This window comes from Homo sapiens, chromosome 7 (genome assembly GCF_000001405.40).
Source record: "Homo sapiens chromosome 7, GRCh38.p14 Primary Assembly".
In the NCBI taxonomy this organism is placed as follows: domain Eukaryota; kingdom Metazoa; phylum Chordata; class Mammalia; order Primates; family Hominidae; genus Homo; species Homo sapiens.
The window spans coordinates 54766041-54783676 of NC_000007.14; the positions used below are offsets into that span (position 1 = coordinate 54766041).

Consider the following 17636-nt stretch of genomic DNA (forward strand, 5'->3'; position numbering starts at 1 on the left):
TTGTTCAGGCTTCCTAGTCTGTGGTATTTTGTTATGGCAGCCCTCACAAACCCACATAGAAGGCACGCTTTCATTGCCTTTTTTCCCCTCCTGTTTCCTAAGAGAGATATTAACAGTTCAAGCGAGTATAATTTTTGGACGCACACAGAGTAATCTCATAGGAATATAAAAATCAGGACGTGTCCTGTCCTATTGCTGCAATGTAGAACTAATCTTTTAGGAAGAGAGCTTTGTGAGTACTCATGTGAGGGAAAGGGATCATAGTTTTGAAACTTCATTTTAATACTTATTGCTTAATCAGTTAAATTTTATTGTCAAGTGGTTTTCTTTAAGGAGCTTAAGGACACGGTTTTTCCTGAGTTTATGCGTACCTGAATATGCCTGTCTGTATACTTTAGTGATGTGGGTGCATATAAATTTGGGCATCACTTTCTTTTCTTTATAATCTAGTTGAAAGATAAATACTCCATTACATGCTAGCACTCAGTGTTTCAGAAGGGAAATCTGATGCTACCTCAGATTGTCCCATCCTTGTCCCCTTGATGTGATTAAAGGATTCTTTCTCTGCAACTGAGATTCAGTGACAAACAGGATCTCAATGAAAAGTGACATTCTATATCATTTTTTCCCAAGACTGCTCGATTCTTACTTCAGGGAAATGTTGTGTTCTTGTAATATGTTTTCTGTTTGATCTGTTGGAGTATCTGTTTAAGGCAACTACCCTTTTGTTAGCTTTTCTTTGTTCTTTTTATATTTTCTTAATTGTCTTACCTTAATTACACCTGTGTACTCACCTTGGTCAGCTCAAGTTTTTTTATTTTTTTTTTTTTTGCACTTTATTAACTCCATTTTTAACTACTGTGTTTCTTGCTATTTTAAATTTATTTTGTGATGTCATTTTGGTTCTCAATTTTTTCTTTAGTGGGACCGTCTTCCATCCTGTTTCATTCTATTTTTAGGTTAGTTCACTGATTGAGAAGCGTTTTGCAGGACTCGTGCCCTGAGACCTTTCTGGTTGCAGAGAGTGGCCATGGAGGCCTCCTGTCTCCGAACTGCCTCCTCACCAGCCTCCTCATCTGGCTTCTGCATGCAACCGCCACCTCTCGATGTATTTATCTTTCAGTGGCATATTTGTATAATTTAAATTTAGTAGATCCTTTAAAAAATGTATGTTATAAAAGTTTAAAACTCAAAACTGAAGAGAATATAATCTTGTCATGGCTTTTCTTGCACATTCAGAGCAAGCGGCTCTGCCTTCCACCTTGCTCTCTGCTGTGTGGCCAGGCTTCTCTCAGTGCCCTTGGTACATTTCCGGAGTCCCCTGTGCCCGGTAGAACTCTCGCCTGTAAGCTGTGCTTTGCTTGTGTTCACTTCAATGTAGACAGATGGCTAGGCCTCGTTCCAGCCGCTCCTTTGCAAAGGATATGGATTCTGTTTTCTCCTCAGAAGTGTGACCCAGGGCCCTATCCAGGGCACAGTGACAGTGGGGACAACCCCGGGTCTCAGGCTCTTCCTCCAGGGCCCCAGCTAGCGTCCCTCTGGCCCGTGCTCTGCATCTTGCTGGAGAGGTCTCTGCTCTTGGATTGTGTTTTGACTTTGCCTGAGCTTCCAGCTCAACCCCCTCAGACAACATTTCTCCAAAGCAGGAACGATTTGTGGAAATTCTCAACATTTTTTTCACTCTGTTTTGGGGGCCTAGGGTCCATGATAGGGAGCTATGCCAAGTCATGGCAGAGTGTTCTTTTTCTGTTTTCTTATTTCATTATGGTAGCATGAAGTTGTACACGTTTCTGTATTGGGTTCTTGCTCTTGCTCTTTTTGCTGCTGTCAATAATTATTGTTGATTACATCAGATGTTGGAGGAGGTGAATTCTGGGTGCCTGTTTTACTTCACAGCCATTGCTGTTTTAATAAGAAGATGGGGCTGGCTAACACGGTGAAACCCCATCTCTACTAAAAAATACAAAAAATTAGCTGGGCATGGTGGCGGGTGCCTGTAGTCCCAGCTACTCAGGAGGCTGAGGCAGGAGAATGGTGTGAACCCGGGAGGCGGAGTTTGCAGTGAGCTGAGATGGCGCCACTGCACTCCAGCCTGGGCTACAGAGCGAGACTCCATCTCAAACAAAAACAAACAAAAAAAATAAAAAGATGGGGAATTAAAATATCATGCCCTGCCATCTTGTGATCCTTTTAACTCAGGAGTCCTTTTTAACTGGAAAACACAGAGATGTCTCTACTATTTCAAGAAGCTATTAGATATGTCCTGTTTTTCTATGCCATTCACTTCCCCTGAATTGCTCTGAGACCTACCCTGTGCTCGTTGGTGCAGTGGGAGTGATCTAACCTTTAAGGGGATAGCTGTTCCAGCCTACCGAGATGACCCCACTAAACACGGGGTAATGCTAGCCGGGAGAGAAACCAAAACAGTAGAAAAATGAAGGAGCCAGCAGGTTTATTGTAAAGAGTTTAATTGCCTACTGTTACAGACAGAAATGGAAGCAAGTGAGGAAAATACATATAGATGCTTTTGAACCAAGTTTCCTAACTCCCAGGACAGACATTTTTTCCCCCATTTTATCTGTATGCTTTTCTGCCATCCCTTACTGGCCCCTGGATGGTTACTTTCTGTTTTTAGAAATGGGAAATTAATACCTAGTCCTCAGGTTAGTTCAGTTCAGTCTAAGAATTGAGTATCAATGAAGGACATAATTTATTCACTGTACAAAAGACCACCCAGCTACAATGCCCAGCTTCATCAGTTATAACTGGGATTAATTAAGTGGATTTTCATATCTCCTCCCTTTTTATTGTTCATAAAGCTTCCCACCTAAGACTGATAGTGCTGTCAACAGCTCTGTTGAGGCCAGGCACAGTGGCTCAGTTATCCCTGTTATCTCAGTGCTGTGGGAGGCCGAGGCAGGAGGATCAATTGAGGCCAGGAGTTTGAGACCAGCCTGGGCAACATAGTGAGACCCTGTCTCTACAAATAAAAATAAAACCTAGCAGGGCATGGTGACATGCTCCTGTGTCCTAGCTACTGAGGAGGTTGAAGTGGGAGGATCTCTCGGGCCCAGGAGTTGAAGGCTATAGTGAACTATGATTCTAGCCTGGGTGACAGAGCAAGGCCCTGTCTCTCTGTTAAAAAACAAAAACAAACAGAAAACAGCTCTGTCCAAGGGGTTGGGAGATCCTCGATGAAGGAAGAGAAGATAATTGGTTGGGTCTGGAGTATACAAGGACTTCAGGTTCTAGCCATGGCGGAGAAACTGGAGCAAGACCTGCACTCCCAATACCAAAAATGAGAAAACTGGACAAAATATGGGAAACAACTCTTTCAGACACTGGGAAACAGGAAATACAAGACTATGATTCATAAGGGGAGGGTAAAAAAATAAAGTGAGTCTACCCCCTCAGAATTCTGCTTGAAAGGCAGTTTTCAAACCAAAGCCACAAGGTAAGGGGAAAAGATTATATGCAGAGAATGGTAATTATTACTGACCAGGAAGATAGAGATGGGTGGAATTTCTAGGGCATACTAGCATAGAGGAGGGTGCTAAATGGAAAAAGAGCTCTAGAAATCTGCAAAGAGCTCCCATTGCATCTATTGAGGAAAACCAATAGTGCCTATGTAAGATGCAACACCATGAGGCTGGGCTAACAATGACCAGGAGCTGTAAGATGAACAATTCGCAGAGGACACAAGGGCTGGGAGACTATGAGTTCTAACCAGCCAGGTGGAGAGTCCTCCTTGACTGTATGGGACATTTAGTGGAAACCTCAGGAGGGTGGCATCTTAGTAACAGGGCTAAATTTGCCATAGTGTAAAGATTTATACAAAAAAAGGAAGGAAAAAATTAAAGCTACACACTTGAAATTAAAAATTATGTTTGACATCCACTGAAAATTACAAAACATGCAAGAAAGCAGAAAAATGTAGACTTGTAACCAGGAGAAAAATCAGTCAACAGAGGCAGATGCAGAGATAGCAGAGAGGAAAGACTTAAGTGAGTGACTTTAAAAATCATTTGTAAAAATAAGCCCAAGGATTTAAAGAAAATTAAACATAATGAAAAAATCAATAGAAAATGTTTTAACAAGAACCAAACAGAACTTCTAGAGCTGAAAAACATATCTAGAATGAAAAATATCCACTATAGGTGTAACATCCAATGAGAACTTCAGAAGAAAAGATCAGTAAATTTGAACACAGCAATAGAAACTATGATAGTAGAAGCACAGAGAGAAAAGGAGATTGAAAATGAGCCCAACATTGGTGAACTGTGGGCAGAAATATATTGGCAAATTTTAACAAATACCTTTATGGAGAAAAAAGCCTCAATCCATAGCATTGGCCAATTTTCATGATGTAAATATTCCCACTCTGGCTGATTTCAAGGTGCCAATGTGACATCAATGAATACAAAATTTTCCAAATTTGACTAATTATAAACTGACGTATCCAATAAGCTCAAAAAACCTAAATAAAAGACATAGTAGAAAAAGATAATCTTAAAAAGCCAAATTTTAAAAAGTACACATATATACAGAGGACTAAAGATAAAACCAAGAGCAGATATATCATAGGAAGCAATTAAGGGCAGAATCACCTCTTTAAACCACTAGTTGGGGTGGGGAGTGAGAGGAGGGAGTATGAACCTCAAATTCCATATCCATTGGGAATGTTCTTCAAAACCAAGGAATTATACTTTCTTCATCAGAAAGCTAGAAAAAATGAGAATATTAACACCAAAGTAAGTAGAAAGAAGCAAAAAGTAAAGATAGACTTTTAATAAAACAAGGGTCAGCAAATCACAACTTTTCAGGCAAAAATATGGCTTCACACTGTTTTTGTGAATATTTGCATTTGAAAATAGTCCCACTCATTCATTTACTTATTGTTGTCTAGTGCTGCCTTACAAATCATATGGCCAGCAAACCTAAAATATGTATTAGTTATTTACAGAAAAATTCGCTACCCCTAGAAACAGACAACAGAGATAAATCAATACAACTAAAAGGATTCTTCAAAAAATCAATCTCGATAAATCTATTGCTAAACTGATCAGAAAAAAAATAGAAATTTCCAATATTAGGGATGAAAGAAAAGACAGTGCTACCAGTCCTACAAACATTAAATGGGTAATAACAGTACAAACAAATTTATGCCATTAAATTTGATAACTTAGAATCAATGAAAAAAGTGTACAACAAAAATTGTTGCTAGAAAATCTGAATAGCTCTATATGTATTAAAGAAATTGAATTCATAATTTCCTTCTTACAGCAAAACTCCCAGGCCCAAATGTCTTCACTGGTGAATTTTATCAAACATTTAAAAAAGCAATAGTAATTGTAATAAAACATAACCTCTCTCAGAATATAAAAAGAACCCTTTCCAACTCAATTTTTGAAGCCAGCATCATGCTGATACCAAAACCAGACAAATACAGAAAACTTTACACCAATATTCTTCATGAATCTAGATGCAAAAATCTTTAACAAGATATTAACAAATAGAATCCATCTATGTATAAAAAGGACAATATATTACAATCAGGTGGAACATTTCTTAGAAGTGCCAGGTTGTCTTAATATTTGAAAAACCAAGGCAACTCCTCACATTAATAGGAGGGGAAAATGTTTTTTTCTCCCTTAGGACTAGAAGAAAAAGTGCACTTGACAAAATTTAGCCACATTTATTACAAAAACTTTCATCAAAGCAGGAATAAAAAGAAACTCTCAAGCTTATAGAGGGCACTTTTAAAAATGTGCAGCTAACATCATACCTAATGGCAAAAGACTGAACTTATTTTCTCTAAGAACAGGAGCTAAGAACAGGAACAGAGCTGATGCTGGTACAATTATATATCTGTATGGAAAAAAAAAAAAACTTTAGTATTTCCAACATATGATACACAAAAGTTAACATGAAAAAGATCATGGATGAAAATGCAAAAAGTAAAACTATAAAACTTCTAGGAAAAATGTAGGAGAAAATTTTTGTGATCTCAATGTAGGCAAACATTTTTGAGGTAATAAATCTATAATTTTTTTTTTTTTTTTTTGAGACGGAGTCTCACTCAGTCACCCAGGCTGAAGTGCAGTGGCGCGATCTCGGCTCACTGCAAGCTCCACCTCTCGGGTTCACCCCATTCTCCTGCCTCAGCCTCCCAGGGAGCTGGGACTACAGGCGCCCGCTACCACGCACGGCTAACTTTTTGTATTTTTTTTAGTAGAGACAGGGTTTCACCGTGCTAGCCAGGATGGTCTCAATCTCCTGACCTCATGATCCGCCCGCTTCAGCCTCCCAAAGTGCTGGGATTATAGGCGTGAGCCACTGCGCCCGGCCCACAAATCTGTAACTTTAAAAAATGATAAATTAGACTATCAAAATTTAAAATGTTTGCTCCCCAAAGGATACTATTAATAATATAAAAAGGCAGGTCACAAACTAGGAAAAAAATAACGATATATATATGTGACAAGATACTTTTATAGAGCATCATATATAAAGAAATCTTATGATTCAATAATTAGAAGATAAATAACCCAATTTTATAAAGTGAGAGAAGCAAATGAATTAAACAGACTTTAACCAAAGAATATATACAAATAGCCAATAGCCACATGCAAAGATGCTCAGCATTATTAGTTAGCAGGAAAATGCAAATTAAACTCATCATGAGTCACCTCCACACACCCATTAGAATCAATGTTCAAAAGGATGATCATACCAGATATTGACAAGGACATGGCTCAGCCAGAGCTCTCACTGATTGCCGTGGGAATAGAAAATGGTGTAACTGGCCAGGCGCGGTGGCTCACACCTGTAATCCCAGCACTTTCGGAGGCCGAGGCAGGTGGATCACTTGAGGTCAGGAGTTCAAGATGAGCCTGGCTAACATGATGAAACCCTGTCTCTACCAAAAATACAAAAATTAGCCAGGTGTGGTGGCAGTCACCTGCAATCCCAGCTACTCGGAAGGCTGAGGCAGGAGAATTGCTTGAACCTGGGAGGTGGAGGTTGCAGTGAGGTGAGATCGTGCCACTGCACTCCAGCCTGGGCAACAGAGCAAGACTCCGTCTCAAAAAAAAAAAAAAGAAAAAAAGAAAAAAGAAAATGGTATAACTATTCTAGGAAATACTTTGGCTGTTTTTTTATAGTTAAATATCTACTTACTCTACCAGTAATTTGCTTCTAGGTATTTACCAAGAGAAATGAGAACATTTGTACACATTTGTTACACACATTTGCTCATAGCAATCTTAATAGTCAAAAACTGGAAGCAAGCCAGGTGCCCATCAACAGGAGACTGGGTCAATAAATTGGGGTATATTCATACAAGAGAATAGTACTGAGAAGGAAAAATGAATAAGATACTGTTAGATTTAACAAAATGAATAGATCTCAAAAGTGTTATGTTAAATGGAAAAAGCAAGTATTTACACAGACACAAAAGAGTACATGCTATATAATTCCTTTTAGATGAAATTCTTAAAAGTCAGAACGGACATAAAGCAGATCAGTGGTTGCCTGGACAAGAGCTGGGGTGAGCTTGCCTGTAAATAGGTACAAGGGTACTTTGGGAGGTGATGGAAATCTACATGTTGTGTTGAGGTTGACTGGGTGTATACATTCGCCAAAACCCCTTGAACTGATATAAAGGTGCAGTTTATTGAATATAAACTACACCTCCATGCAGTTTTTTAAGAAGAGTTTATGTGTATTTTCTCCTGTTTGAGCTTTGAAAGAACATTCCAAAGCTCCTAAATGCTTTGGAATCCCAAAGCTCCAAAAATGTTTTCTATTAGAAAACATTTAGAAGTGCTCAAAGTAGCAAAAGATTTGCCTAGTTTTATCGGAAGTATGGAGAAAAGACACAAGATGGCGGTGTTACTCAGAGAAAGCAAAAGTGTATGGCGTCTTTCTCAATAAAGTCTCATTTCACCTGGCAGTTCTTCACGTCATTGACACGATTGTCCTCAGTACTTTCTTCTCCAGGTGCTTATGGGAGTCTTCTCTAATATACTTAATTACTGTCTACACTCAATAACTACGTCACGGATCCTTTAAACATCTCAAGAGCTTTTGTTTTTCTGTTGTTGTTGCAAATAAAAGTGAAAAATGTAAATAGTTTGCAATCCAGTAATCTATTTCGTTATTAGGGAGACTCATGTCTACTGCGGTTTGTTACTCCATAATGGAAGCCCCTGAGAAGTCGCCTTACCTCTGGGAAGAGCGCTTTGCTTCCCAGAGAATCTGATTCGCATTTCAGGCAGTCAGCCACTGGAGGGCAGTGCAGAAGCGTGAATGCCCTCACCTGCTCGGAGGCGGGAAACCCTGCAGCAACTGCGTCTTCTAAGGGAGCCTAGGACCAGGTTATTAGCAGAGGGGAAAAGAAAATGAATCCATTCTGGAAACCATCCGTTTGATTCAGAATGTTTTGTGTAAGACAGTATTTCTTGGGCCAGGCACAGTGGCTCACGCCTGTAATCCCAGCACTTTGGGAGGCCCAGGCGAGCAGATCACTTGAGGTGAGGAGTTCAAGACCAGCCTTGCCAACGTGGTGAAACCCCTTCTCTACTAAAAATACAAAAATTAGCTGGGTGTGGTGGCATGTGCCTGTAATCCCAGCTACCCAGGAAGCTGAGGTAAGAGAATCGCTGGAACCCGGGAGGTGGAGGCTGCAGTGAGCCGAGATCATGCCACTGCACTCCAGCCTGGGCGACAGAGCAAGACTGTCTTTAAAAAAAAAAAAAAAAAAAAATTATTTCTTGGTAATTACAAAGTTGTGTCCATCAGACGAACTCTAGAACTCTACAGATAACTGTGGACTCTAGCCTCCATGTACAGAGCAGCTAAGTGCAGACTGGAGAGAGGGCAGGCAGGGGCCGGCCGAGGGCGGGGTCCTACAGGAGGAGGAGGTGCCGGTGAACCTCCCATTTCCACGACTTGTACTCTTGGGGCAGCCCCTGGTCTGTGCCACGTGGATGGTGAAAGCTCACATGGAGAACATCCCACTGCCTTGAAGAACCAGAGGACAAAGTTTAGGACAACCGCAGTCACTGGCTGGGGGGCGGTGTGGGGCAGGGATCGGGGACTGACAAACAGAAGAGCCGGGAGACAGGGAACCTCAGACCATGAGTAAAGGCTAACTTCCTAGCTGGGCCATGCATGGACCTGACAAGCTTCCCTCGCTAAGGCCCAACCCTGCAGCCCTGATGGCCCTGCTGCCCCACCCAGGTTCCACGCACTGTGGGGAGATAAGCGGAAGCTGGAAGAGGGAAACCCTGGGCTTACAGCCTGGTTCTGCTCCCAACCACTACTGCTAATGTCTTGAGCTTGTTACCAAAGCTCCCTGAGCTTTAGTTTGTTTTCCAGAGAAAAGATGAAACCAGACCTCTCTCCTAGGGCTGCTTTTGAGGACTACCAGGGATAATGTGTGCAAAGCGCCTGACACAGAGGGCTTCACTCTGTCATTAATTTGCTTCCCACCTCTTGTTTGTGGTTTCCCTGGAATCTTGTGACTAACTCCTGTTGCAGGAAGTCAGGGACCCCAAACGGAGGGACCGGCTGAAGCCATGGCAGAAGAACGTGGATTGTGAAGATTTCATGGACACTTATCACTTCCCCAGTCAATACCCTTGTGCTTGCCTATGCCTGTCTTTACTTTAATCTCTTAATCCTGTCAGCCAAGGAGGATGTATTTCGCTTCAGGACCATGTGATAATTGCGTTAACTGCACAAATTGTACAGCATGTGTGTTTGAGCAATATGAAATCTGAGCACCTTGAAAAAAGAGCAGGATAACAGCAATTGTTCAGGGAATAAGAGAGATAACCTTAAACTCTTGACCGCCGGTGAGCTGGGCAGAACAGAACCATATTTCTCTTCTTCCAAAAGCAAATGGGAGAAATATCTCTGAATTCTTTTTCTCAGCATGGAACGTCCCTGAGAAAGAGAATGTGCGCCTGGAGGTATAGGCTTATAAACAGCCCCCCCGCCAGGTGCACCTGTCTCTTATGGTCGAGGCTGCAGAGATGAAATATACTCCAGTCTCCCATAGTGCTCCCAGGCTTATTAGGAAGAGGAAATTCCCACCTAATAAATTTTGATCAGACCAGTTGATCACAAAACCCTGTCTCCTGATAAGATGTTATCAATGACAATGGTGCCTGAAACTTCATTAGCAATTTTAATTTCGCCTGGGTGCTGTGGTCCTGTGATCTCGCCCTGCCTCCACTTGCCCTGTGATATTCTATTACCCTGTTAAGTCCGTGATGTCTGTCACCCATACCTATTCACACACTCCCTCCCCTTTTGAAAATCCCTAATAAAAACTTGCTGGTTTTTGTGGCTTGTGGGGCATCATGGATCCTACCAACGTGTGATGTCTCCCCAGGACGCCCAGCTTTAAAATTTCTCTCTTTTGTACTCTGTCCCTTTATTTCTCAAGCCGGCCGACGCTTAGGAAAAATAGAAAAGAACCCACGTGATTATCAGGGCAGGTCCCCCGATAAACTCCGTTTCTGAGATCAGTTCTAGTGGCAACCCTCCAAGTCAGCTAGGCCTCAGTTCCTGATCTTACCCGTAAACGCAGTGAGTTTGCTTCTCACAAGCTTTGGTTATCTTGTCTGTCTCCCTTTTTGAAATCCAGGTTTGAAGACTATTCGGCCATGCTTTTGCAGTGAGCACCAGCTTGCTAGAGCCCCTGGGGGGCCGCAGCCAGCAAGCTGGAGAGTTACCAATGTTCCAAGAATGTTTCAGAACCACTTGCTTTGTCAAAGCTTGGCCTTGTGGACTTCCCGTTTTACATGAGATTCTCTAGTCTTTGCCCATCTTCATTTCCTATTGCCTCCTATATATTTTTTTCTTTTTCTTTCTTTCTTTCTTTCTTTTTTTTTTTGTCAGTGGCAACTTTTACATGATTTTCTGTGATCATGCACACAGGGACTAAAAGCACTCACTCTCTCTGCATCTGGGACCCGTCCTCTCCTCTACCTCTCACTGCAGTCAATGGTGTTTGCTCCTCTGCCCTTTGCTCTTGCTGGGCCATGGTGACAGCTTCCTGGCTAGGTTCTCTGCCTTCATTCATGGCCCTGTGTGCCATTTTCCCCGACATCCAAGACTTAAACTTTTAAATATGGTCATCACATCATGTTAACTCTTCACTTTCACTTCTCGCGTAGCTGCTTGCTGTAGCTGGAGTCAAATCTACCCTCCAAAGACCCCCGGCTCCCTCTCTTCCCCTGACTGGCTGTGCTCTGGCTCTTTCCGACCACACGTGTGTCAAGCTCCTACTATCATCCAGGCCTCCCCACGTGCTTGTCCTGTGCTCTAATCGTCTTTCTACACCCAGCTGCTGCCTTTTATCATTCCTGCTTTGGTTCTATCACCGTCTCCTCAAAGAGGTCTTCCCGGCTGTCCCAACTGAAGTAGTCCTCACTTAGCCTCAGCCCCTGTGTAAGCCATGGCAACGTTTCATTTCCTTCATCACACTTAGCACTGTTGAAAATTGTCTTTATTTATTTGTTCCAGCACCACAAAGTTCAGGTGTAAAATAGAGTTTACTGGAGGAAAACAAGCCAAGAAGTAGTGGGTTGCACGGTCTCCTTAAGTCGTGTTACTCCTTAGCTCTTAGACAGGATATACACAGTCTGGTGCATCAGGGCCAAGGCACCAGCAAGGAAGGACAATGTCCCCATGATGCTCTGTATATTTATGGTGTGTATTTAAGAGAAGGGAGCAGGGGATATCTGTGGGACCACACACGTTCTCTAGTTGAGAAAGTGGCCTTGTTGGAAGGGAAGGTCCTCCAGAACCTGGCAACCAGACACTGACCCGTCCTCCTATTAGGCTCGGGTAGAGCGCCTACCAAGTACTCTGCTGAGCTATTATATAAAGGCAGGGAGGAAGTGAGTCCCTGGGGCCATGCTCTTCTGCCTCTCCTGAGTAAAATATAAGCCCCATTAAGAAACAGAGCTTATCTTGTTTACCACTACAATAATACCAGGCACGTAGAAAGGCAATCAAAAAATATTTATTGAGTGAATGGGAGAATAGCAGAATGAGTAATAATAAAATCATGATTCAAAAGTAACTGAAATTCAGAGAGAAAGACCAACTTTACTAGAAATGGTATCTTGGTAGTGACCTGGAGCTGATGGGGAGGGGGTGTCTAATTTACTGCAGCATTGTAACTGCGCATAGAAGGCACAGCAGGAGGGCAGCCACTGATGTGGCTCCAACTCTTAGAGGTTCCTTTCCTGGTTTTAAATACATGCCATGGCTGGGCACGGTGACTCATGCCTGTAATCCCAGCACTTTGGGAAGCCGAGGCAGGTGGATCACGAGGTCAGGAGATCAACACCAGCCCGGCTAACACAATGAAACCCTGTTTCTACTAAAAATACAAAAAAAAAAAAAAAAGCCGGGTGTGCCTGTAGTCCCAGTTGCGTGGGAGGCTGAGGCAGGAGAATGGTGTGAACCCAAGAGGCGGATCTTGCAGTGAGCCGAGACCACACCACTGCACTCCAGCCTGGGCGACAGAGCAAGACTCCATCTCACGAAAAAAAAAAAAAAAAAAAAAAAAAAAGGACACGCATGTTAGTCCTGCACTGCCCACAGCTTCATTTACGGAATTACCACTGTCAAGTTGACATGTGCTGTCTCTTAAATTACTCTTCGGTATGAGAAGCAAAGTTGCATGTTTATTTTTGTCAGAGAAAGAGACTGGGATTCTTTGGAAGACATAGGCCAATTGCCCTTCATACCAAGAAAAATCTTTCTCATTCTGACTGTTTTGTTTGTCTCAAACCAGCATCACAGACTGCCCTGGATGGGTTTTGGCAACAAGAGTGATAATGAAGTCATTTCCATGGTGATAAGGTCAACGTTCTTAATGCTTACTGCATCACAATCAATTTTTGAAATGTTTCTAAATTAGAAAAGTGAAAAAACTTGTTAAATGAAGGAAAAGTGTACGATGAGCTAAATGCTGAGGAGAATGACTAATACTCTGCATGAAATACTCATCAAGCACTTGATCACATGCACCTCTGGAGGGTTTCTTATTAGAAGACACTTCCCTGGAGATGAAGTCATTCTGGTTGCCCCCATTTCACAAATACCAACCTTGGAATAGATATTATTGACTTGTAAAATGGACAAAATTTGTTTTCAAAATGTCAATAAAAACTATTAAGTAAGCAAAACAAATCTTTAGCAGTCTCTATCATGGCCCATTAGTGGAATTACTTTTCTCCACCAATGTAATAATCTGTGTTTCAGGTCTCTTAGGAACTGAAAAAATTACATATAATGGAGAAATTATACCTATTAGGTCACTATGTGTTTCTACAAGTCAAGTAGTCTGTTGCGGTAGCTTTAAAGCAATTTTCTCAAGCTAATGATTAGTTTAGCACGGTCTTATCCTCTCTGACATTTTACACTCCTGACGACTTTTTTCTTAGAATTCTCCTTAGCGCCATGTTTCCCCATTTTGATGCTGCTCTTTTCCTGCTCCCTGTTGGGGCTTTTAAGTGATGTTTCTTTCTTTGATCACCTCCTGAACATCAATGATAGTCCCCATTTAATCCATTCTCCTCTTATACTTGACACTTTTTTTTTAACCTCATCTGATCACATAGATTCAAATTTCACTTAAATATAGGCTTTCAGTCAAACTTCTCAATAACGTTTGTAGCCATATCTAAAACTGGACTCATCTCCACTCAACAGTCCCCCAGGTTCCTCACACTCAACTCACCCACAGCTCCTCCGTCCCCACCACCAACTCCAGGTGCTTCCTTGATGTCCACATTGGGATGGATGTGATTCACTTTCCAATGCTAAGTGTGGGAACCTTTCTGCATCCCACCCTTTCACTCACCACCGTTCTCAGAATCCAGCCATCAACCCAGCAGCCTGCAATTCCTTAGGATCTTTTCTTTTTTCCTTCCTATATATCTTATTCCAACCGGAACCACTGTAAGGCTCATGCCTGGTCTCCCTAAGCTCAGAAGGCACTCAGCTTCCAGCTGGGAGGAGCGGGCCTCAGTCACCAAGTCTCCTCAAGCCTCTTTGACGAGATGAGGTGGGACCTCTTCAATATTAATATGGCTCTACATTCATTATACTTAAATTACAGAGAGTTTATCAGGAAGAAATACAATTTATGCTAGTAAATATTTCTTCTATATAAAAAATGTGAAAGAATTTGGGAATAAAAACCATGGAAGTGAAAGATATGAATCCTGACCTTCAGAAGGAGTGGGAGTGGGTGAGAAACCAAGATTGCAGTGACCTGGGTCTGGATTTTAGCTCCTCCATTTGTTTGACTGGGGCAAGATATTTTAGTTTTGGTTTCTTTGTAAAATGAAGAGGAACACTTCAGTCAAAGGTACGTTTTGACATTTAAATTATATTGCATATGAAGCATACATCCCCAAAACTTGGACATGGTAGATTCTCATCAAATCATAATTATTATAACTTAGAAGCACAAGACTTTCATAATTGAAAAGTAAAATATCAGCAATAGTTTAAAATAACAGTTTAAGTAAACAATAATAGAAACGCCATGAGGAATCCACCCTGTCTGCCAAGGAACAGTGCGGACAGCCATTCCTCAAGGAGCCCAGATTGTCTGGAGCGGAAAGAAATTACAGACAGGAAACCCCTACCTAGACACAGCAGCACCACACACCAAATGTTCTCTGACTCCTCAGCTCCTGAAAAAGAAGATTTTGCTACACAAAGCAAAAAAAAAAAAAAGAGAAAGTTTTATAGATTTTTATGGTCTTTAAATAAGATTAGGGCCAGGCCCGGTGGCTCACGCCTATAATTCCAGCACTTTGGGAGGCTGAGGCAGGCGAATCACAAGGTCAGGAGTTCGAGACCAGCCTGACCAACATGGTGAAACCCCATCTCTACTAAAAATACAAAAAATTAGCTGGGCGTTGTGGTGCATGCCTGTAATCCCAGCTGCTCAGGAAGCTGAGGCAGGAGAATCGCTTGAACCCGGGAGGCCAAAGTTGCAGTGAGCTGAGATTATACCACTGCACTCCAGACTGGGTGACAGAGCGAGACTCCGTCTCAGGGAAAAAAAAAAAAAAATTGAAAAGTTAAAAGATAAGATTACTCTAAGACTCACCTCTCACCTGTACCCAGGGACTTCTAGGTTTGAAAGCATTTCCACCACTACTGATGATCTAAGGGAGACACTGGGGAAAGTATAGCTGCATAATCCTTCCCTGTGGGTGTCACTCCCTAACCTCCAGGCTCTCCTGGGTGTGGACTGGTTGGGGGAGATGATTGGAAACTGCCATTTGTGTCTACTGCGCACAATGATAAGAGATAAACTTGGCTGGGGCTATTAGAGGTCGTTTATTTAGTTCAACATTTCGTATACTAAAGAGGAAACCCAAGTTCAGACCGGCTGAGTTGGAAAAGTCACCTAGCTACTGGAAGCAGAGCCAGGCCTAGATCTCCTAGTCCAAAACTTCTTTTCTCCCACACCACAGCTGCTGCTTTACATTACTGGGGTTTTGGAATTTTACTCATTCAAATGCAAATGTTTTGTGTGCTTCTTTAATGGGACATTTTTTGTCTTACTTTACTAAGTAAAGTACAGAGTGAATGAGAGTGGATTGGAGGTGTTGAAATCGTCAACCTCTTTTAAAGCATCGTTATTTTTCCTTTGTTTCTCTTTATGATGTGAAACACTTACTTCTTTTTCTTCCCAGCTTGAATTGGAGACAGCAGCACAGATAACTTGACTTTCTTGTTCTAGTGGATGATGCAAGTAGTGAGGATGCGATTAACGAAATCAATGGCTCATGGGAAAGCCTTCCCATTTCCAATCTCACCCCTACTTTAGGATATGGTCCAGTGAATCCGTTGCTATGAAACAGTGCTGCAGCTGGGCTCAGTGGGGGTCTGGGTGGTCTCACAAAAGCTAGCAATAGTTGTAACTTGGAGAAATTAGAAGTGTTACGGGCCGTCCAATATCACATCACTGGGATAAGTCATGATCGTGTGACTTCATAAAGTTTGCCATTGACCCATTCATCAATTGGTTATTGAAGTCATACTATATTCCAGGTATTGTATTAGGTTCCAGAGATACACTGTCCTTGCTCCATAGTCCACATGGACAAATCAGCGAGTGATCGTGATGTGATGTGGTGGATGCTGTGATGGAGAAAGACGAAGTGAAAATATTCATGCATCAGAGTGGCATCTAACCCATCTTCCGAGGTCAGGGAAGGCTTTTTGGAAGAGATGATATTTAAGCAGAAACCTGAAGAATAAAATAGATGGCACAGGTGAAAAGGTGGAATAGAGGATGTTCCTAGCAGAAGAAGCTGTATTGTATGTCAAAGGCTCAGAGGCATCAGAGAACCGGCAGAACGCAGGGAAGTACAAGCGCACAGTGTGCCGAGAGCACAGGATACAGGTGCAAGATTGGGAGGAGGAGGTGTCCACAGATGGGGTGGAAGCACTGCACAGCCTCCAAAGCTGTACACAGCCTCTCCTTGTCTGCCACAGGACTTTGCGTGTGACCACTGCACCTCCAGGAAGGCCAGGTGCACATCGCTTCCCATGCGCCCGGCCTCATGGCCTTTGGGGGTTGTCGTGTGGAATGGAGATGACACGAGTGCTGCATGTGAGGTCAGGGAATTGGGTATGCATGTCACCACTCAGAATGGGGCTCCTGGGTGGTGGAGGGAGTGCAGTTTTCTGCAGTATCTTTGAGCAAGGACAAAATGGCAACAGAGGAGTAGCTGCAACTAATAGAAAGATTTCAACTAGCAATAGCTTAAAGAAGGTAGAAGTCTTTTCCTCGCATGGGAAGGCAGCCTGCATACAGGCAGCCTGGGCCTTTTGTGGCAGCCACACAGCGTCCTCTGAAAGGGCAACTCGCCTCCCAGGTTTCTGAAGCCTAGTTCTCCGCATGTGGCTTCTACCCTGGGGCTGTGTAAACGTCAGCATTCTAGCATGGAGCTGGGCTGGACAGGTAGCAGCCCTTTCCCTAAGGCTAATGCATTTCTTGTTTCTCTCCAGGTCAGTCAGGATCTTTGATTTTGGAGCACAAGCCTTCTGCGTGCTACTGACTGGGTCCTGGCCTCCCTCCTTCCATGGCATCGTCGTGAATGGGAATTTCCACCACTGCCTCCATTAGGTAACTATGGTGAGCCTGGCAATCGCTTACTATTATTTCCAGTGCTGCTGTTTTTGTCTTTTTAAAAATTATTCTTTATTTTTAACATTGTATTTTTAAATAATTTTGGGGCTGGGCGCGGTGGCTCACGCCTATAATCCCAGCACTTTGGGAGGCCGAGGCAGGCGGATCACAACGTCAGGAGATTGAGACCATCCTGGCTAACACAGTGAAACCCTGTCTCTACTAAAAATACCAAAAAAATTAGCCAGGCCTGGTGGCGGGCACCTATAGTCCCAGCTACTCAGGAGGCTGAGGCAGGAGAATGGCGTGAACCCGGGAGGCAGAGCTTGCAGTGAGCTGAGATCACACCACTGCACTGCAGCCTGGGCGAAAGAGTGAGACTCCGTCTCATAAATAAATAAATAAATAAATGAATAATTGTGGACACAAAAAGTTACAAAAATACTAC

At 42.6% G+C, this 17636-nt stretch overlaps 1 long non-coding RNA gene across 1 annotated transcript in view, besides 4 other annotated features; it reads left to right on the plus strand.

The window, feature by feature from the left end:
* The window catches only part of SEC61G-DT (SEC61G divergent transcript), a 45657-nt gene that overhangs the window by 6728 nt on the left and 21293 nt on the right, over positions 1–17636 (plus strand). Inside the window, exon 2 of the long non-coding RNA NR_110040.1 lies at positions 17068–17185. This is a non-coding gene — a long non-coding RNA (SEC61G divergent transcript). The remainder of the gene's footprint in view (positions 1–17067; positions 17186–17636) is intronic.
* Positions 8212–8371: a silencer, noted in NCBI's record as "silent region_18185". NCBI's record gives its function as "represses an Ori minimal core promoter by ATAC-STARR-seq in GM12878 lymphoblastoid cells {active_cell/tissue: GM12878}" and the evidence as "EXISTENCE:reporter gene assay evidence [ECO:0000049][PMID:35858748]".
* Positions 13798–14661: an enhancer, noted in NCBI's record as "H3K27ac hESC enhancer chr7:54847531-54848394 (GRCh37/hg19 assembly coordinates)". NCBI's record gives its function as "activates a minimal SCP1, AML or CMV promoter by ChIP-STARR-seq in naive H9 embryonic stem cells {active_cell/tissue: H9 hESC(naive)}" and the evidence as "EXISTENCE:reporter gene assay evidence [ECO:0000049][PMID:30033119]".
* Positions 14662–15525: an enhancer, noted in NCBI's record as "OCT4-NANOG-H3K27ac hESC enhancer chr7:54848395-54849258 (GRCh37/hg19 assembly coordinates)". NCBI's record gives its function as "activates a minimal SCP1, AML or CMV promoter by ChIP-STARR-seq in naive and primed H9 embryonic stem cells {active_cell/tissue: H9 hESC(naive and primed)}" and the evidence as "EXISTENCE:reporter gene assay evidence [ECO:0000049][PMID:30033119]".
* Positions 15526–16389: an enhancer, noted in NCBI's record as "OCT4-NANOG-H3K27ac-H3K4me1 hESC enhancer chr7:54849259-54850122 (GRCh37/hg19 assembly coordinates)". NCBI's record gives its function as "activates a minimal SCP1, AML or CMV promoter by ChIP-STARR-seq in naive and primed H9 embryonic stem cells {active_cell/tissue: H9 hESC(naive and primed)}" and the evidence as "EXISTENCE:reporter gene assay evidence [ECO:0000049][PMID:30033119]".